At 43.2% G+C, this 21,793-nt stretch overlaps 1 protein-coding gene and 1 long non-coding RNA gene across 16 annotated transcripts in view; one reads left to right on the forward strand and one right to left on the reverse strand.

Annotated features, from left to right (window-relative positions):
• The window catches only part of HOMER2 (homer scaffold protein 2), a 151,497-nt gene that overhangs the window by 58,850 nt on the left and 70,854 nt on the right, over nt 1–21,793 (reverse strand). The window contains exon 1 of one of the 15 annotated variants that reach the window (XM_047433362.1): nt 3,408–4,943. The exons of the other annotated variants lie outside the window; for them this stretch is intronic. The gene's annotated coding sequence lies outside the window, so the exon portion shown is untranslated. Of the gene's footprint in view, nt 1–3,407; nt 4,944–21,793 lie in introns of those variants that run through there. 15 annotated transcript variants of the gene reach the window in all.
• LOC105370928 (uncharacterized) overlaps nt 1–21,793 on the forward strand; it is a 49,172-nt gene that overhangs the window by 709 nt on the left and 26,670 nt on the right. Inside the window, exon 2 of the long non-coding RNA XR_007064741.1 lies at nt 6,078–6,124. This is a non-coding gene — a long non-coding RNA (uncharacterized LOC105370928). The remainder of the gene's footprint in view (nt 1–6,077; nt 6,125–21,793) is intronic.

Below are 21,793 nucleotides of genomic sequence, written 5' to 3' on the forward strand. Positions count from 1 at the left end.
ATAGTAGAGACGGGGTTTCACTATGTTGGCCGGGCTGGTCTCGAACTCCTGACCTTGTGATCCGCCTGCCTCGGGCTCCCAAAGTGCTAGGATTATAGGCGTAAGCCACTGCGCCTTTTTTTTTTTTTTTTTAAGAGACAGTGTCTCACTGCTGCCCAGGCTGGAGCGTAGTGATGCAATCATAGCTCACTGCAGCCTGGATCTCTGAGGCTCAAGCAATTCTGCCTCAGCCTCCCAAGTAGCTAGGACTACAGGCACGTGACACCACACTTGGCTAATGTTGCCGGGAGGTGGTGGGTAGAGACAGGGTCTCTCTGTGTTGCCCAGGCTAGTCTTAAACTCCTGATCTCAAGTGATCCTCCCACATTAGCCTCTCAAAGTGCTGGGATATAATCCCAGCATGAGCCATTATAGGGCATGAACCACTGCACCTGGTAATATGATAGAATTATTTTTTATCTCTGTATCTCTTCAGTCTACTTCTGGAACCATTCAACAACCTGACCAAACCTTCAAATTTGATGTTTCCAACTTATAAACCTTTTGAGTTTTATGTAAATTCATCAAATCCATCCCTTCTGCTATTCTTGCCTCTATATTGTTGCTTTTTCACTCCACATGCCTAAAGCATTTTATGCGATTCACCAAATTTGCATATTACCTATGTTTCTTTCTGTTGAGTGGGGAATTAGATTTTGACAATACGCATTTAGAAACAAGGCAGATGAATAAAAATTGTAATGGATTTCACTGCATTTTGTATTCTAAGCTATCTACTTCCCAAAGTAATGCAAAATGGCACAGACTTATCACAAAATACATTTATTTTTGAAGAAAGCATCTTTACACAGACTGGCTCAAAAATCCTTTAAGTGTTCAAAATAAGATACAAATAGAAAAAAAGCCATCAACGTGTAAAAATAGTCCCATTGTTGCGGATCACGAGGTCAGGAGATCGAGACCATCCTGGCTAACACGGTGAAGCCCCGTCTCTACTAAAAATACAAAAAATTAGCTGGGCATGGTGGCGGGTGCCTGTAGTCCCAGCTACTCGGGAGGCTGAGGCAGAAGAATGGCGTGAACCCGGGAGGCAGAGCTTGCAGTGAGCTGAGATCACACCACTGCACTCCAGCCTGGGCGACAGAGCAAGACTCCATCTCAAAAAAAAAAAAAAAAAATAGTCCCATTGTTTATAAAATGCTACAGATTTAATAAGTACTTATTAGAGACACAAAATTAAAAGGTAACTTAGACAATTTTTTAAATCTTTACAATGTCAAAAGAGATAAAATAAAAGAGACATAGACAAGATACAAAAAAAAAAAAATCAAAGAGAAAAGAATTTGAAGTGTTCCAGTCTCTAGATGGAATGATTTTAGGCGAAGCAGTCTTTGAATCCATCCTGAATGTAGAATACTCATTATTAAAATTTTAAGAATGCTCTTGAGAAACTTTTCCTAGAAAACCAATTTGCCATTTGAGCCTCATATAAGGGCTACTGAGTAACACCAGCAGCATCAACCATCAACCGTGGTTTTGAAGAAATGCAGCAATCTTCTTTATGCCTGTTTCTCCTCAGGCATGCTATTAATGCTGCTTCAATGCAGCTGTTTACAGAGGCCAGCATTCCAGAACAGAGGCTAGCAGCATTCCTTGCTCCCTGAAACTTCCCTTCTAGGTCCCCTGGAGCAGGACAAGTGCCTCTGGGGCTGTGGATTACTAGGGCATTTTTATTCCCTCAAACAGAGACCAAGTTCACCCACACACTCGATGCTAAACCAACACCCTTCCAGCAGCTGGGTGACAGCTGTTAGAAACAAAAGGAAGATTCTCACTGTAATTTCCCGCATCTGCTGTCAAGAGAGGCCAGACGACAGGGAGTGTGTGCATATCAGTGCAAGCCCTCATACCCCATCCATGTGATATAATCCAGTCTGCAGTCTGGATCACCCAGCTGTGCCACTCTCAGCCCAGCACCATATTTTGCTAATCATCTAAGTACAACACCATAAAGGAAAACACTTCCACACACAGTATTCTCCTACATACGTGAAAGGAAGGAGCAATTTAAAGGGCAGCAACTACAGAACATTTGTTGAAGAATCAAATTATGCCTCATTGTCAGAGCACTAAATGGGCTGGGCTGGGGGCCCACGGGTTAGAGAAGGCCTTTCTGGGAAGGGACCCAGACTTTCAGATCTTCCCTCCTATTCCCTACATCAGAAAAGAGGGATTGGGTCTCGGTTTGGGCATGCTTAGACGGGTGTTCCCTAAATCTCCATGACAGGAATTAGCTGGTACACTTACTAAAAATACATGTTCCCAGGCCCCATCCTAGCCCCCCTTGAACCTGGCTCTCCAAGGAAGGGCCCAAGGGGCTCCATTTTTAAGAACTCCAGGTGATTTTTACTTTCAAGGAAGCTGGGGAGACATTCACATTAGATATAATCAGATGATCTAAAAAAGAAAAAAAGAAGTGGCCCCTAGAGCCAGCATCTCTACTCCAGAACAACACTGGTGACTGAATGACACAGGGAGACTCCAGAAAGTTCTCCCACAGCTGTAGAGGGGGCTGGAGGTGGGGCAACAGGGGGACCAAGAACAGGGTCTCTGGATGCAAAGGATGGGGGCAAGGGGCAAGGGGAGGCAGAGCTGTTCTGGTCAGGAAGGAGGGTGGAGATGAGTGCGGCCTGTGGTGGCCCAGCAGTAGCCTTCCGCAAGCACTCTCTGTCCCTGAGGCCTACAGGAGGGAGGAAGTGAGGAAAGCAAAGTGGAGAGATGGAGGGGAAGGCACAGGGAGCCGAGAAGATGGCAGAGCTTCCTGACCAGGCACAGGCAAAGCAGCCGGCTGTCTGCTCGGCATGATCCAGGTGTCAAAGTGAGTAGACAAGAAGGGTTCCATCTCCAAATCTGCCTGCTCAGCTCTGTGGATGGACTGAAGTCATGGTGAGCTGCCCTCGGGACCCCCAAGTAGAAATGCAACGATGTTGGAAGAACACAATGGCTCACCTGGCCACACTCTTGGTCAACATGGTCAGGCCCTCTGCAGGGCAAGTGGCTGCTCCAGTGTGAGGGGAGGCACAGAGACCTGGGAGGGGTACTGCAGGGCCTCCTGGCAGCTCCATTCTGAGGTAGTCACCATGGCAGGAAGCTATGGCCCTCCAGAGGCCAAAGACCTGCATTCCTCATCCTCGAGCCCCTGGGCAAACAGGGGAGGATTGCACGGCCAGTCTGGCAGGAAACTACCCGCCGCTCTGGGATTTCACATGAATAACCAAGTCTGGGGGCACTGGGGAGTTCCATGCTATTCTTCTACAATCCAAAAAGTCTAATGATATTTCAAAAAAAGGCAAAAAAGAAAGGCAAGGAGAAGAAAAGCTCGTAGCTGACCTTTACTGAGTACTTACCATTCTGCTAGGCTCGCTCTCCACTTTGAAACTGCAACAATCCTACAGGGAAGGGGCTGAACAGGTGGGGAAACAGGAACTCAGAGAGGCCAGGTAACCTGACTTGGGTCATGCAGTATATGACAGGTCTGAAATTTGATGTCATTTCTTTTTTTTTTTTTTTTTTTTAGATGAAGTCTCACTCTGTCGCCCAAGCTGGAGTGTAGTGGCATGATCTTGGCTCACTGCAACCTCCACCTCCTGGGTTTAAGCAATTCTCTGCCTCAGCCTCCCAAGTAGCTGGGATTACAGGCGCCTGCCACCACGCCCAGCTAATTTTTGTATTTTTAGTAGAGACGGGGTTTCACCATCTTGGCCAGGCTGGTCTTGAACTCCTGACCTCATGATCCACATGCCTCGGCCTCCCAAAGTGTTGGGATTACAGGCTTGAGCCACTGCACCCAGCAATTTGATATTATTTCTAAGTGACATGGAAACCCTCCCTCTCAGCCATTATGTTATTCTCTCTTCCTATAATAATAGCTGTCTGTAGTAGGCAGCTTCGGATGTGACTCCTGGTGACCCCCACCTCCTAGTGTTCATGCCCTTATGGAATCCCCTCCTCTTGAGTGTGGGTGAGACCTGTGACTTGCTTTTAACCAACAGAATATGGCAAAGGTGATGGGATGTCATTTGTGTAATTAAGTCACATAGGATTATGACATCTGTCTCCTATCAGACTCTCTCAATAAATTACCTTACTGGTTTTGATGAAGCAAGCTGCCATATTAGGGAGATCCACCTTACAAGGAAATGAGGAAAGACTCCAGCCAACTGACAGACAGGAACTGAGGCCCTTAGTCCAACTCCCTTGGAGGAATGGAAATTCAGCCAACAACCACATGAGCTTGGAAGCAGATCTTTCCATATGTGAGCCTTCAGATGAGACTCCAACCCTGGTCAACACCTTGATTACAGCCTTGCAAGAGACCCTGAAGCAAAGGGCCCAACTAAGCTATACCAGACTCCAGACACACAGCAATGTGGTTTAAGATGCTATGTATGTGACAGTTTATTACGTAGCAATAGAAGAGACACTGTCCTTCACAGAAAGCTTACTACACACCAAGCAAACCATAAATGTTCTCATTTAATCCTCCCAACAGGGCTGTGAGTGGGCAGGGCTCACCACACAGAAAATCAAAGGTCACAGGATCACTTCAGGCAAACTGAACAACAAATCTTAACACCTTTATGGGCAAAATCCAAACAGAGACCTCACCACAAAATTCAGAAAAGCAGACCCTGACTTTGAAAGAGTCTTCTGCTTCACTTGAGAAAGCAAAAGAGCTAGAAGTAGGACATAGAAGTCATTTCCTCCAGTGTGCAAATCAATATAAATAGAAAGATTTAAGAGAATCAGAACTTTCCAACCTGCGTTTCCTTCCCAGCAGGGAAAAGCTGAAGAGAGTGTATCAGAGGACAGAAATTACCTTCATATCCAAATTTATTCTCCTTCCTTTGATGTTCAATGTTCAGAGAGTAAATTTCAAATATACTCCCATTCCTTCTTCAGTGCTTTAAATAGAAAGCAGATGTTTCCGGATGGCAGAACGCTTCTTTAGACAGACAATATAACCTACCGTTCCTTGCATAGTCTCTTTAGAGCTGAATAAACACCAATTGCTGTTCATTGAACACATTCTGGAACCTGACAGTAATTGTTCCCAAGAATAATTAGATACTCTGTGCAACATATGTATGTTTGGAATATGAAAACCACTCGGCAAAGAGGCCACTCCTGCTTTGAACAATTTCTGGCTCCATGTGAAATAATTCTGCAAAGAATTAGCACGACTACTTTTGCAAAGAAACAAGAGAGAGAGAAATGATGTTTTAACTTATAATTCTTCACTTGCAATGTTTAGCTCCACACTTTTTCTGACATAAACCTACAAAACATCAAAATTCTTATTTTTCCTACTTCTATTTGATTTGAATTAAAACAAACCCTTCAGACATTATTTTACAGTATTACAAAGTCTTGTAAGGTACCCTAATTAGTTTGTATCTGTCTTGAGTCTTAAACCCCTCCAAACACCATCTACTACACCAACCGACAGGTCTTCCTCTAGTCCAGATGGGTCACACTCTGCCTGCCCAGCTGCAAAGGCTTCCCTGGCTCTGTCCCCAACAGGACCAGCTCCCAGTGCTTTGCATGAATTACAGGCTGTCCCCTGACCACCTGGCCCTGCCCTCTCACCAGAAGGGCTTCTGCTGCTTTCCTTCTAGAACTTCTGAATCATCTGTACTTTCACACATCCCAGCCAATGCATGTGCCCATCACTGGACCCAATACATCCTCGCTTCACTGTCCCTTCATGTACTGTCATAGCATCTTGTGAAGTCTGATTTGTGCTCTGAAGACACAGGCCCTTGACTGGTCACCCATCACAAGGGACTGGAAGCATGGGCTCATCTGGCCCCTGACCCACACTCTAGGTGGTCAACAGGCTACGCCAGCCAGCAGGGCCAAATCCTCAGAACCCAGAACAGAGAACTGAAGGAAAAAGGAGATGTGGACAGAAATTTTTTCTTGTACATTCTCCCATGCAAAGAATCTAACTTACAAGCATATTGGAGTTCTACTTTTATACAAAATCCACACAGTAACGTTATTCTTATTTGCAGATAATAGAATTGCACATAGAGAACACCCAAGAAAATCAACTGAAAAAGTGAGTAATCAAAATTCAGTAAGGTGGCTAGGTATAAAATCACTAATAAAATCAGTAGCCTTCCTAAATACACAAACAACCAGATAGAAAATATAACAGATTGTCTGGCCAGGCAAGGTGTTTCATGCCTGTAATCCCAGCACTTTAAGAGGCCAAGGTGGGCGGATCACTTGAGGTCAGGAGTTTGAGACCACCCTGGCCAACATGGCAAAACACATCTCTACTAAAAATGTAAAAATTAGCTGGGTGTGGTGGTGGGCACCTGTAATCCCAGCTACTTGGGAGGCTGAGGCAGGAGAATCGCTTGAACCAGGGAGGCGGCGGTTGCAGGGAGCCGAGATTATGCAACCGCACTTCAGCCTGGGCAACACAGTAGGTGAGACTCCATCTCAAAATAAAAAATATATAATAATAGATTGCCAAAAATCCCATTTACAGTAGCAACCAAAAGGATACAATTTCTTGGACTCTATTTAGGAAGCATGCAAGATCTATGTTTAGAAAATAAAAGCAAGCCAGGTACAATTGTGTGCCCCTATAGTCCCAGCCACTCAGGAGGCTGAGGCAGGAGTATGGCTTGAGACCAGGCTCTAGTACATACTAGAATTGGGCCTATGAATTTCTAATGCATTCCAGCCTGGGCAACATAGCAAGACCCATTTTTTAAAAAACCCAAATAAATAAATACAGTAAGAACAAAAACTTCTGAGGCACACAGAAGAAAACTTTAATAAGACATATTCTTAAATGGGAAAGCCAACACAAAGCTGTCAATTATCCCTAAATTAATATATAAATCTAACATAATAAAATTATTATTTTTAGAACTAGACAGGGTTATTCACTGGAAAACTCTATGTGAGGACAGCCAAAATATTCTGAAAATGAAAAGCAATGAAGAGTTTTAGCCATCTCAGATATTGAAATGTATTATTATAAAGTTATAGCAAACAAGGCAGAAGGTCTTAGCAAATAAGTAGGTAAATAATGGAAGAGCAGAGAGTCCAGAAATAGAAGCCTAAAGAAGTGAGTGCATGACACAGGCAGTATTGCTCATTAGTGGAGACACAGAAATCCTGTTACAACAATGCACCCTAGGAAGAGTCTGCATCTGCTGGACCTTAGCCAGATGTCTGTCTCCTTGCCTGGTCTGAGCCCCTTCAAGGAGGTCACAGCTGCCCCATTCTATTAAAGTTATTTTCTTCCTGCCCCCAAACTGCCCAATTAACAAACCTGATAAATTAGTGATCTGATAGAAGAAATACTTGTCACAAATCCTCCTAGTCCTCTGACTAGGAATTCCCTTTTTGGGTCACATTTACACCAGGGAATGGATGAGGCAAGTGCCGCTGATGAATGCTGACAGGCTTTATTAATGACACTACCTTATTTCCTAGAGTGTCTGACAGTTTTTAAGGAGCTTTGAACATACATTCTCCTATTGGCCCTCCTGAGATGTGAGTTTGACTAAGTTCTGGGGCTGGGTCACAGGCAGAGGGCTACCCAGAAAAGCCATCAGATCCATTCTCATGTGCTTTGGAAAAGGGTCCCGATTCTCCAAAAGGGCTGGATGGGCCCAGGGCAGTGGGTGAGGACCTGGACAGCCAGGAGGGAGACAGGCAGAGTTGTGGAGAAGCAAAGCTGAGATGGAAAACAAATACAGGCAAAGGGGTGCAGAGGAGGAGGTAAGGCTTCTCTGAGGACGCAGGATAGGTAAACATTACGGCGGCAGGGATGAGTGAAGTGAAGGGGAAGTCTAGGACAGGGACAGAAGAGAAAATAAAACTCACTAGCAACATAGCAATGCCATCCTATGTTCAAACAGCACCCCTGAACCCCTGCACAGAAACCCCTCTCCCACCTCCACACATATATCTCCCTCCACCTCAGTCCAGAGCCCAGCAAATCTGCTAGGTTTAGCAGATAAGGGAGGAAACAGCTATTCAGGCACCAGAGGTGCACTCAAGAGATCAGCAAGGGCCACTGTGTGGCACAGGAAGCGGGTGGCAGGAGATGAGGTCTCAGGGAGGGCCAAAACCAGACAGCCATGGAGCCTGAGCACCAGGCTAAGGACATCAGTCTTTAACTCGGGGCCAGCATCTCCCTAATGTGCTCTGTGGAGCTATTTTCTCTTCCAAATACATTCCAAAAAACATACATGTAGGAAAAACATTAAAAGCATTTGGATAGTCATTCTCATAATTATCTGCTATCACCTTCAAGAAGTGTTCTCAAGCCAAGACTGCCAGGAAATAGCTTGGGGGCTGCATAATACACAGGTATCTGTCGTGTTAGCCACAACACAGGTGTATTCTTGCTCTGACAAAGCAGCCACTGCATGGATGGTTACTTTCTATCCACAGTATGCTGTCTATAGAAGGAATCTTGTCTCAGGATTTCAACATATATTTGTGATTTTATTCTGTAGATGGTATGGTTAACATTTATACTATAAAAATTCATCCCACCTGAATCTATCATGAACAAAGGAAGTTTTAAACAAAAAGAGTTTACGATTCACATATGAACTCCACAAGCTAAGAACTGGAAAACATCCAAGTGATTTTTTTTTTTTTTTTTTGAGACCGAGTCTCTCTCTGTCACCCAGGCTGTAATGCAGTGGTGCAATCTCGGCTCACTGCAACCTCTGCCTCCCAGGTTCAAGTGATTCTCCTGCCTCAGCTTCCTGAGTAGCTGTGACTACAGGCACCTGCCACCACGCCCGGCTAATTTTTGTATTTTTAGTAGAGACAGGGTTTCACCATATTGACCAGGCCGGTTTCAAACTCCTGACCTTGTGATCCGCCCACCTCAGCCTCCCAAAGTGCTGGGATTACAGGCATGAGCCACTGTGCCCAGCCAATATCCAAGTGATTTCTAAAAAACCAGGTGGTATGCTGCCCAAGTCACAGGATTAATGATTTCTGAGACAGTTGAATTCAAGAGAGCACAAAATCTTCCCGAAGGAACCGTTTGTGTTCTTCCTTTTGCTATAACACATCTGTGTGCAAAGATTTTCATATTACACTGTAATGAAACAAATTATGGAAGACGTCATGCCATACCTGATATGAGGGTATGACTTGGAAACATTATTCTTAATATTGACTAGATACGGTTTTTTAAAGGACTGGAAAAATAATGTTCTCAATTTTAAATACTGAGGGCTTTTATATTCATCTACAATAAAAATGAAGTTAGATATCTACTTACATACTTTGTTCTTAAGCTGAAAATAATTTTGTTTTATTCTGTTACAAAGCATTCACACACAAATGTGAATAATCTCCCAGCAATTAATTCATCTGTGAGACCATATCTTGCTGTCCACCTAAGAGTCTGTTATATTTTATGATCGGTTGATCTTCCACTAGTGTTTCAAAATGTAAATTGTTCCATAGTAAAATAAATTTAGAAAATGCTGAGCAAAGGAGTGGCACAATCAGAACTACAATTTAGAGGGATCACTGTGGCACTTCTATTGAAGATGGGCTGAAGGGGGAAGAGACCGGAAGCTATTACTGAGGCACTTCGCAATCATCCAGGCACCTGGAGATGAGGGCCTGGCCTAGAGCGGTAGGGACCGAAGGAAGGGAGTGGGTTCCTGAGATTTCAAAATGGCGTCGGGAGCATTTCCAGTTTCCAGTTCAGCACGTGAAGAGCTTGGAAGTCGCCACTCCATTTTAACAAGTAAAAGGCTGGGTGCGGTGGCTCTCGCCTGTAATCTCAACACCTTGGGAGGCCAAGGTGGGCGGATCACCTGAGGTCGGGAGTTTGAGACCAGTCTGACAAACATGGAGAAACCCTGTCTCTACTAAAAATACAAAAAAAAATTAGCCAGGCGTGGTGGCACATGCTTGTAATCCCAGCTACTCGGGAGGCTGAGGCAGGAGAATCGCTTGAACTCGGGAGACAGAGAGGTTGCCGTTGGCCGAGATTGCGCCATTGCACTCCAGCCTGGGCAACAAGAGCGAAACTCCTCTAAACACACACACACACACGGCAACAAGAGCGAAACTCCTCTAAACACACACACACACACACGCCACACCCCACATCAAGTAAAAAGCTGAACAAGACTGGGCGCAGTGGCTCACGCCTTGTAATCCCAGCACTTTGCGAGGCCAGGGCGGGCAGATGGCTTGAGGCCAGGAATTCGAGACCAGCTCGCACAACATGGTGAAACCCCATCTCTACTAGAAATAGAAAAATTAGCTGGGGGCTGGGCATGGTGGCTCATGCCTGTAATCCCAACACTTTGGGAGGCCAAGGCGGGCAGATCAGTTGACGCCAGGAGTTCGAGACCAGGCTGGCCAACACAGCAAAACCCCGTTTCTACTAAAAATACAAAAATTAGCCTGGCGTGGTGGCCCACACCTGTAATCTCAGCTACTCGAGAGGCTGAGGTGGGAGGATCGCTTGGGCCCGGGAGGTGGAGGCTGCAGTGAGCCAAGATCACACCACTGCACTCCAGCCTGGGCGACAGAGTGAGACTGGCTCAAAACAAAAAAACAAAAAACACGGAAAAATCAACACCTCTTCTCCGCTCTGTCACAGAAGTGAGGTCACAGGGCAAACCACTGCCCCCAAAATTAGAGAGACAAGCAGGTACCGAGAATAACAACTTACCAGAGCAGAAAGCCATAAGCAGAGACCTCTGTGGAAATGAGTGCCAGGGCAGGAAAACCTGAACTACAATTGGGGAATTGCTGAAGACTCAGTGTGGGGTAGGTCTCAAGAGTTAAAAACTCCAGAGGGATCCAATCATAGGGGGGCCTGCCCACTGTCTTCAGTTTTACTTCCAGGAGTTTTACCAGGTTTTCACAGTGAGCATCAGAGAAAAATCCCCTCGTGCTTGAGGCAGGGGGAGGGGAATGCAGCCATTTTAAAATACACCAGAGCACCTGTTCCTTCCTAACAAGGCCTGCCCTCAGGAGAAACTAATTTACCAGGGCCCAATCAGCTGGGGTACTATCAGCACCCAACTAAGCTAGAGGAAGGGAAATACCCAACTCCAGCCCCCTTCAACCATCCTGTCCTACTTAAGCGGAGAGAAAATAATTGAGAAGCATTGGTAAACTTCACAGTCCAGGTGCACAAACTCACCTAAAGACTGAGACATAGTCACAGGGCTATGGAATGCTTCCCCTCCCCCGGACCTTATCACCACATTACTAAAGGCCTATTTATGCAGTTCCCTTCACCCAGGACAGCATGTCTACCTTTCACCAAAAAATTACAAAGCACACCAAAAGTAAAAAAATAAAATAAAAAATAGTTTGAAGAGACTGAACAAGTATGAGAACCTGCAGTCGTAATATGGCAGGCATGTTGGAATTATCAGACCAGGAATTTTTTTAAATGATTAATATGCTAAGGGCTTTGATGGAAAAAGTAGACAGCATGCAAGAACAGATGGATAATGTAAGGAGATGGAAATTCTAAGAAAGAATCAAACAGAAATGCTACAGATTAAAAACACTGTAACAGAACGAAGAGTGCCTTTGATGCGTTCATTAGTAGACAGGACAGGGCTGAGGAAAGAACCTTTCTCAGTCTTCAAGGCAGCCTTAAACTGCTTTCGGAAGGCTCAGGGATTGGAAGTTCTGAAACTTTCAAAACTAAAAAGCAAAGAGAAAAGACTGAAAAAAAAAAAACCACCAAAAAACAGAATAGCCAAGAACTGTGGGAAAACTGGAAAAGGTATAAGATAGGCATAATAAAAATACTAGAAGGAGAAGAGGGAAAGAAAAATCAGAAGCAACATTTGAAGCAATGACTAAGAATTTCCCCCAAATTAATGTCAGACACCAAACCACAGATCCAGGAAGCTCAGAGAACACCCTGCAGGATAAATGCCCAGAAAAACTATACCCTAGGCATATCACATTCAAACTTCAGAAAATCAAAAATAAATTTAAAATCTTGAAAAAAGCCAGAGGAAAGAAACACCTTACCTACAAAGGAACAAAGATAAGAATGACATCTAACTTCTCAGAAGCCCTGCAAGTGAGAAGAATGGAGTAAAATATATACTGTTAAGAGAAAAAAGCACACACCAACCTATAATTTTGTACTCTGAGAAATTATTGTTTAAAAGTGCAGGAGAAATAAGGACTCTGAGATATACAAAAATGGATGCAGTTTGTTGCCAATAGACCTGCCTTACAAGAAATGTTAAGTGTTTCAGAAAGAAGGAAAATGAGATAGGACAGAAACTTGAATCTACATAAAAAAAGAGCATCAGAGAATGAATAAGTGAAGGTAGCATAAAAACTTTTTTGTTATTCTTAATTGATCTAACAGATAACAGTATGATCAAAATAATATATTCGAATATGTATGTATATATATGCTTATATGTAAATGAAATGAATGACAGGATGATATAAGCTATGGGATGGAGGAGTTAGGATTATTTTGTTATTATAAATTACTTGTACTACACATGAAGCAATATAGTGTTATCTGAAAGTGAGCTTGGATTCATTGTAAATGTATACTGCAAACTCTATGGCAGCCAGTAAAAAAGCGTAAAAAAAGAAGTATAATTGATATGCTAAGAAAGGAGAAGAAATAGAATCATATGAAATGCTCAATTACAACTACAAAAGGCAGAAAAAGTGTAGAAGAAAAAATTGGAACAAAGAACACGGGCAACAAATAGAAAACAGTAACAAATATGACAGATATTAATCCAATGATATCAAATCACCTTAAATGTCAATGTTCTAAATACACAAAAGACAGAGATTGTTAGAATGGGTTAAAAAATAAGGCCTGACTACAAGAAATCCACTTTTTTTTTTTTTTTTGAGATGGAGTTTTGCTCTTGTTGCCCAGGCTGGAGTGCAATGGCTCAATCTCGGCTCACTGCAACCTCCGCCTCCCGGGTTCAAGTGATTCTCCTGCCTCAGCCTCCTGAGTAGCTGGGATTACAGGCATGGGCCACCATGCCCAGCTAATTTTTTGTATTTTTAGTAGGAACGAAGTTTCTCCATGTTGGTCAGGCTGGTCTTGAACTCCCGACCTCAAATGATCCGCCCACCTTGGCTTCCCAAAGTGCTAGGATTACAGGCGTGAGCCACCGCGCCCAGCCACAAGAAACCCACTTTAAATATACAGACACATATAGATTAAAAGCAAAGGGATGGAAAAACATACACCATATAACACTAGTCAAAAGACAGCAGGAGTAGCTCTATCACTTTCAGACAGAGCAGACTTAAGAGCAAGGAAAGTTATAAGAGAGAAAGAGTCATTACCTAATAATAAAGGGGCCAATACTAAAGGAAGACATAACCTTAATGTGTATGTGCCTAACAGCAAAGTGTCAAAATACATGCCAAAACTGACAGAACTACAAGAAAAAAATTAATGAATCCACTACTATAGTTGGAAATACCAACAGCCTTCAGTTAGAGATGGACAGATCCGAGGCTGGGTGCGGTGGCTCACGCCTATAATCCCAGCACTTTGGGAGGCCAAGGCAGATGGATAACTGGAGAGTCGGGAGTTTGAGACTAGGCTGGCCAACATGGTGAAAGTCTGTCTCTACTAAAAATACAAAAAACTAGCTGGGCATGGTGGCGGGTGCGTGCAGTCCCAACTAATCAGGAGGCTGAGGCATGAGAATCGCTTCAACCCAGGAGGCAGAGGTTGTAGCAAGCCAAGACTGTGCCACTGCACTCCAGCCTGGGCGACAGAGCCAGACCCTATCAGAAAGAAAAGAAAAGAGAAGAGAAGAGAAGAGGAAAGGAAAGAGAAAGAGAAGGAAAGAAAGAAAGAAAGAGAAGGAAAGAAAGAAAGAAAGAGAAAGAAAGAAGGAAGGAAGGAGAAAGGAAGGAAAGAAAAAGGAAAGAAAGCAAGAAGGAAGGAAGGAAGGAAAGAGAGAGACAGAAAGGGAGAGAAAGGGAGAAAGGGAGAAAGGGACAGATTCAAAGAAGCAGAAAATCAGTACATAGTTGAACTCAACATCACGACATCAACCAATGGGGTATAATTGGCACCTACAGACTATTGATCCAAGAAGAGTAGATTGCATGTTCTTTTTCAAAGTGACATGGAACATTCAAGATAGACCATATTCTGGGCCATAAAACACACCTCAACAAATTTAGAAGAATAGAAATTATATAATATCTGTTTTCATACCACAATGGAATTAAACTAGAAATCAATTAATAGGAGTGGCCAAAAAGTAGAAACAACTCAAATGTTCATCAACAGATGAATGGATAACAAAATGTGGTGTATCCATATAATAGAGTATTATTTGGCAATAAAAAAGAAATAAAATACTGATACAGGCTATAACAAGGATGAACCTTGAAAACATTGTGCTCAGTGAAAGAAGGCAGTCACAAAATGCCAGACATTCTATGATTCCATTTATATGAAATGTCCAGAATAGGCAAAAAACCTATGAAGACAAAGTAGATGAGTGGCTGTCCAAGCACAGGAAGCCAGGGTAGAGGAAATTGGGAGTGACTGCTAATGGATTCTGACTTTCAGGGGGAATGAAAATGTTCTATAAAATTAGATTGTGGTGATGGTTCCAAAGTCTCTGATTACAGTAGAAAAAAAATCAATGAATATGTATTTATACATTCATTGTATAATGAATGTATATTATGTGAATTGTATATTATGTGAATTATATCTCAATAAAGCTTTATTAAACTTATAGGAGGCCATTGATTCAGACTGAGCTTCTGCACTCAGTCCCAACAGACCAAACCAAAATGGAGTCACTTATACTAAAGTTCCAGGTGACCATGTCAAAACTAAGTGGTTTATCTGGTCTTTCAAGAAATCAGGACAGAGAATAGCCAAATCCACACACAGGCCAGTTTTATCTGACATGATAAGGAAGCTCCCTCCACTTTAACCTTTACAGGGACAGTAACTTTGAAACAACCCATCTGCTTTTTGTTCTTTCTTGTTTCTGCTTTCTTCAGCCCTTTTCTGTCCATACATACTCAATGTCCACATTGTAGGGTGGAATTCTCTGAATCTCTTCTGATTCTGAGGGCTGCCCAATTCAGTAATTGTTCTGTTAAATTTATTTTGTCTTAAGTTTTTCTTTTAGTCAGCTGTTTTGCTTTTTTTTTAAAAAAAAAAAAAGATCAAACATGGAGGATGAAGGAGAAAAAAGACTCAGTGACTCTAAATTGTCTGGCTTGGGCAACTGAGAGGAGATTTTAGTCATGCTGGGTGTGCCTTGCCTGTGAACCAACTGGAAGAGATGTTGGGAAGTGAGTGGTATTTCTTTTTGGGGTGACTGCTGTGTTAGAAGACAACACCAGGGAGCCCACAGCAGCAGATGAGAAGAAATCACAGTGGATGAAACCACTCAGGGAGGGTCTGCAGAGAGAAAAGAGGAGAGGAACAACCAAACCAGGGAGGCACTCATGTCAGGGGCAAGAAAAGGTACTATCTTTGGATGAACACAGGGCCAGGAACACAGTGGGAAAGCCAGGAAAGAGTACTGGAACTCAAAGAAGTTCAAGATCATTCAGGTTGATTGATCATTCCAAAAAACCATTTGGCTATGTTGGAAGTAAATGCTTGGTGCTGCGAAGTGAAAACAGCACTCAGGCAAAAGTTTTCTCAGCAAGGCAATTTACTTCTATAGAAGGGTGCACCTCACAGATGGAGCAATGGCGAGAGCACACTCGACAAGGGAGGGGAAAGGGGTCTTCTTCCTAACGCAGTTAGTCCCTACTGCTGTGTCTTTCCCCTGTTGGCTAGGGTTGGACTGCACAGTCTAAGCTAATTCTGATTGGCTATTTTAAAGAGGACAGCGGTACAAATTGGAGTGGTGGGGTGAGTAGTTTTGGCGGGAGGGATGGTTACAGAACAGGTGACTAAGGATGACTAAGGACAGAGCAGGTGACCAAGGATGACTAAGGACAGAGCAGGTGACCAAGGATGACTAAGGTCAGAGCAGGTAATAGAGGCTAGGAGGGGGTCATTTACTGAAGCTAGGGGCAAGGAGGTGTAAAGAACAAGGAAGTTAAACTTTAAAATGGAGAACAAAGAACCAGAGAGCTGAACATACTGACATATTGGCTCTTTGAAGAGGAACTCAGAACTCATTGTACTTAACAACTTTTCCACTCTTGGATTTTAAAGGAAGTTAACAGGCTAAAACCTTTGAAGAGGAATTTTACTGTATCCTACAGTTACATATCATATTAAAAGCTAACTTGTTTCAGCTGGGTGCGGTGGCTCATGCCTGTAATCCCAACACTTTGGGAGGCCGGGACAGATAGATCACCCGAGGTCAGGAGTTTGAGACCAGCCTGGCCAACATGGTGAAACCCCGTCTCTACTAAAAATACAAATTAGCCAGGCATGGTGGTGTGTGCCTGTAATCTCAGCTACTCAGGAGGCTGAGGCAGGAGAATCGCTTGAACCTGGGAGGTAGAAGTTGCAGTAAGCTGAGATCATGCTACTGCACTCCAGCCTGGGTAACAGAGCAAGATTCTGTCTCAAAAAAAAAAAAAAAAAAAAAAAAAAAAGGCTAACTTGTTTCCCTACCTTTACTGAGAAAGGTAAAGAAAGTGACGGACATCTCAAATACACATTAAAAAGATGATACTGCCAGGTGAGGTGTCAAAGCCCCCACATTGTAAAGTGGTTGACTCGTGGGTTGGTAAGAATTTACTGACAACCATATAGGCTTGAAGAAGTTTTATTAGAAAGAAGGAACGCTGCCGAGGAGTCCAGTGGGGTGAGTCGGTGAGAGGACTGAGCACCTTATGGTGGATTTTTCCTTAGGGGTATTTATGGACCTTAAGGCAGGAGCTTGAGGGTAATTTGGACCATACTAGCCACGTAGGTCATGATAAATGATTACATCTGTAGTAATTCTGGTGCCTTAATGTCAGCAAGGGTTGCACAGTACGTTTTGGCATGGCATTCTGGAGATGTATAGAAATCCTAGTGACTTATAAATTTTGGGGGAAAGAAATCTGGAACCAGATGCCTGCTTTAGATAATAGGGAAGTGCAATTACTTCTAATTTCCCAGATAAGGAGTTTGCCTCGGAAGGCGTGTTTGATGGTCACCAGGTGGTCTTTGCTCCCTTCTAAATTCCTCAGATGGGAGTTTTTGTCTCCGGGGCCTGTTCAATGGTCACCAGGTGATTTTTGTTCTCCTCAGAAACATTCTTCATTTTGTCTCAGCAACGTAACAGTGCCTAGTTTCAAGTCTGGTTTCTGTCAGGGTCAAAGTTAAACAAGAGGAAGGCTGCTCCACACAACTTTTCCGTTTCTCTTCTTAAGGAGTAAGGGAGGAGGGTTCAGGGCTAAGTCCCTTCAGTCTGTGTGAGGTAGGGACATTAATATAACCACCTCAAGGGTTTGTTAAGATTAAATGTGATAACATGTGCAAAGTGCCTTTTTGCTATTAATAGCAGACTGTTAAAGGAATGTTATGTTGATTATAGGTGTAAGACGCCACTGCAGGGAAGAGAATCCCTTTGCCACCTTAGACAGCTCAACCCTCCCATAGAGAATCTAGCTCTCTCTCCCTATTACCATCAGCAAATTAAACAAAGAAATCTTCAAAAAGAATAACTGTGCTTTTATAACTTAAGAAAATTGTTCAAAGTTTAAAAACTTAGAAGTCTAGGACTTGTTTTTTTCCTTTACTTGCAAATTAGTTCTAGTTTTGGCAAACTGGTTTTATGGTTCCCAGGTACCTACCCTTTCAGGTTTCCAGGTAGCAGCAAGAAGTACCCTAGTACCACTTCTAGAAGCCAGTCGTTGTAAATGTACGGCTACCACTCTGAATTTAGGTTTAGGGGAAAAAAAGCTGTTTTTTTATTTTCCTAGGAATCACTTTAGTTTAAAATTAGATTGCATGGTGTAAAGAGCTGGTAACTTGCCAAGTCAATTACAAAAAGTGTAAAGCATAAAACCAAAGGTGCAGACATACCTCAAAAGAGTGTTTATATTTTCATTTACACTATCAGTTGGTCTCTCAGGCTAATGGCTATATGTGTGTGTTCCAATAAAACTTTATTTACAAGAACAGTTGGCAAGTATAGAGTTGCCAGATTTGGCAGATAAAAAGACAGGACTTTCAGCTAAATTTAAATTTCACGGCCGGGTGAGGTGGTTCACACCTGTAATTCCAGCACTTTGGGAGGCCGAGACAGGACCTCACCTGAGGTCAGGAGTTCGAGACCAGACTGGTCAACATGGTAAAACCCCCATCTCTACAAAAGTACAAAAATTAGCTAGGTGTGGTGGCAAGTACCTGTAATCCCAGCCACTTGGGAGGCTGAGGCAGGAGAATTGCTTGAACCCAGGAGGCGGAGGTTGCAGTGAGCCAAGATCGCACCACTGCACTCCAGCCTGGGCAACAGAGTGAAACTCTGTCCCAAAAAATAAATAAATGAATTTAAATTTCACATAAAAAATGAATAATTTTTAAAGTTATTTGTATTGAGATATAATGTGGACACCATAAAATCTACCTTTTTAAAGTCCCCAATTCAGTGGCTTTTTATTCACAGAATTGCGTAACCATCACCACTGCTTAATTTCAGGGCATTTTCAGAGCACCCCTCAAACCCCGTACTCATTAGCAATCATTCTCCTCTTCCCCCAGCCCCTAGCAACCACTAACTTACTTTCTGTCTCTCTGAATTTGCCTGTTTCAGGCATTTCATATAAATTGAATCATATAATATGTGGCTTTTTATATCTAGCTTTTCTTTTCAGTGAGCGTAATATTTCTGAGGTTGATCCATGTCAATATATATCAGTGTTTCATTCTTTTTATGGCTGTATTATAGCCCACTGTATGGATATATCACTTTTTTTTTAATCCATTCTTCATCTGATGGACATTAGGGTTGTTTCCATCTTTTGGCTATTACAAATAATGCTGCTATGAATATCCATATACTATAATTATGTGGACATATGTTTTCTTGGCTCTTGGGTATATATACCTAGGAGTGGCATTGTTAAGTCATAGGATAACTCTATGTTTAGCTTTTGAGGAACCGTCAGGCTGGCTTCCAAAACAGCTGCTCCATTTATGTTCCCACCAGCAATGTATAAGCGTTCCAATTTGTGCACATTCTCACCAACACTTGTTATTGTCTGTCTTTTTGATATAGCCATCCTACTGGGTGTGAAGTGAAGGATGACAGATACCGGGCACATCTCTAAAGGAACAACCGTGTACCTATCTGAAGGCAGCCTATACCCTAAGTAGGCGGACTGTGTGTGTGTGACTGTTCTGGGCCCTGAATGACTTTCTTGGGTTGCAGCTGCCCAAGGAGGGAACCTCACACACTAGTTAACCTATTTCAGGGTCTTTTATTAACAGGAAAATTTTAAATAATGCTCTTAGAAATACTGAAAACACAGAAAACTGGGGTGTAGAGAGACAAGAGGGAGTCAGGTAACTGTAAAGCAAATGGTTTTTATGCGGTGCAGCCTTGGAAGTTACAAGCAAACCTGCAGATAGTGGGCAGGCCATATTTCAAAGACGACGAAGATGTCATACTGGACTCTGCTATTCACTCCTTGTATGAAGTGCCACGATGGAGTTAAAGCTCAGCATCCCTGTGCCCTGGAGAGGGTGGTTATGGCAGCCACCAGTGCCCAAGGAGAACATCCACTTTTCTTACTTTGCCTCCAGGTTAGTCTGATTTTTTTTTTTTAACAGCAAACATTGCCTGATGTAGTCTGATCATCTTGAAGAAGCCTGAGCTACACGGAGAGGGTAGCTCCAGATCCTTCTAGAACTTCTCTTCTGCATCTGGAAACCCCATGCAGTTCCTAACCAATGGTGCCTACCAGCAGAGCCTGAGAGTCTGACCTACTGCCTACAGCCCAGGGCACACAGCCTGCCTCCCCCTATTTCTGCTATTGTTCTTGCTTCTGTAATTTCATCCCAACAGCAGCACTCTATCAGGCCATCTTCCTGAAAGCAACACAAACCCCTGCTTAGAAGAGTAAACTATTGACGGTAGACAGCAGATCACACAGTCAAGCTTTGCATGCCTTAGGAAATGTTCTTGCTGCAGTCCCTCCATCCTGGACCCTTCCTCCAGAATCCCCCACTGCCAGTCCCTCATCCTGGCTCCCTGGGAATTCTCAGGTGCCATCTCTTTTCTGGTCATTTATTTAAAACGTGTACAGGGCTGTGGAAAACTGGTGCTTCCTCAAAAAGTTAAATACAGCATTTCCACGTGGCCCTGCAATTCTTCTAGGTATATACCCAAAAGCATTGAAAGCAGACCCAAACAGCTACTTGTATGCCCAGGTTCAAAGCAGCATTATTCACAACAGCCACAAAGTAGAAACGACCCAAAGTCTATCAACAGATAAATGGATAAACAAAATGTGGCATACACATAGAATCGAATAGCCTTAAAAAGGAATGAAAGTCGGCCAGGTGCGGTGGCTTATGCCTGTAATCCCAGACTTTGGGAGGCTGAGCCGGGCAGATCACGAGGTCAGGAGATCGAGACCATCCTGGCTAACACGGTGAAACCCCATCTCTACTAAAAATACACACACACACACACACACACACACACACACACACACACACACACACAATTAGCCAGGCATGGTGGTGGGCACCTGTAGTCCCAGCTACTTGGGAGGCTGAGGCAGGAGAACAGCGTGAACCCGGGAGGCAGAGCTTGCAGTGAGCCAAGATCATGCCACTGCACTCCAGCCTGGGTGGCAGAGTGAGACTCCATCTTTAAAAAAAAAAAAAAAAAAAAGGAAGTCCACTATATGCTACAACATGGATGAACTTTGGAAATATGCTAAGTGAAATAAACCAGTCACAAAATAAATATTCTATGAGTCCACTTATATGAATCAAATTGTCAAATTCATAGAGACAGAAAGTAGAACAGTGATTACCAGTGGCTGGGGGAGGAGGGAATGGGGAGTTATTGCTTAATGGGTTCAGAGTTTCTGTTTGGGATGATGAAAAGTTCTGGAAATGGAGAGTAGTGATGGCTACACGACATTGTGAATAAGCTTAATGCCACTGAACTGTACACTTACAAATGATTTAGGTGGTACATTTTATGTGTGTTTTACTAAACAACAACAAAGTGTGCTGGGAGCAACTCCTGGTGAGGTCGGGGATGGCTTCACAGAGATAATGACAGGACTGAGTCCTTAGGAGGACAAAGGGAGGAAGAGCAACTGTGAAGAACAGCTCAATGGCACCAAAGAGAAACCTGCAAAGGGCGTGCATTTAGAGGACAGATGGAGGTGGGCACAGTGGCTCACACCTGTAACCTTAGCGCCTTGGGAAGCCGAAGTGGGAGGAATGCTTGAGGCCAAGAGTTTGAGATCAGCCTGAGCAACATAATGTGACAAAAAATACAAAAACTAGCTGGGTGTGATGGTGTGTGCCTGTAGTCCCAGCTACTGGGGAGGCTGAGGCAGGAGGATCACTTGAGCCCAGGAATTCGAGGCTCAACTGAAAATTTTTTCAATTTTTTTTAATTGAAAAAAAAAAAAAATCAACTGCTGAAAGAATTCTGGAGATAGTGATGATGGTTGTAGAACAGTGTGAATGCACTTAATGCCCTGAACTCTATACATGTAACATGGCTAAAATGGTAATGTTTATGTTATCATAATATTATGTTATATAAATTTTGCCATA

This window comes from Homo sapiens, chromosome 15 (assembly GCF_000001405.40).
Source record: "Homo sapiens chromosome 15, GRCh38.p14 Primary Assembly".
NCBI lineage: Eukaryota > Metazoa > Chordata > Mammalia > Primates > Hominidae > Homo > Homo sapiens.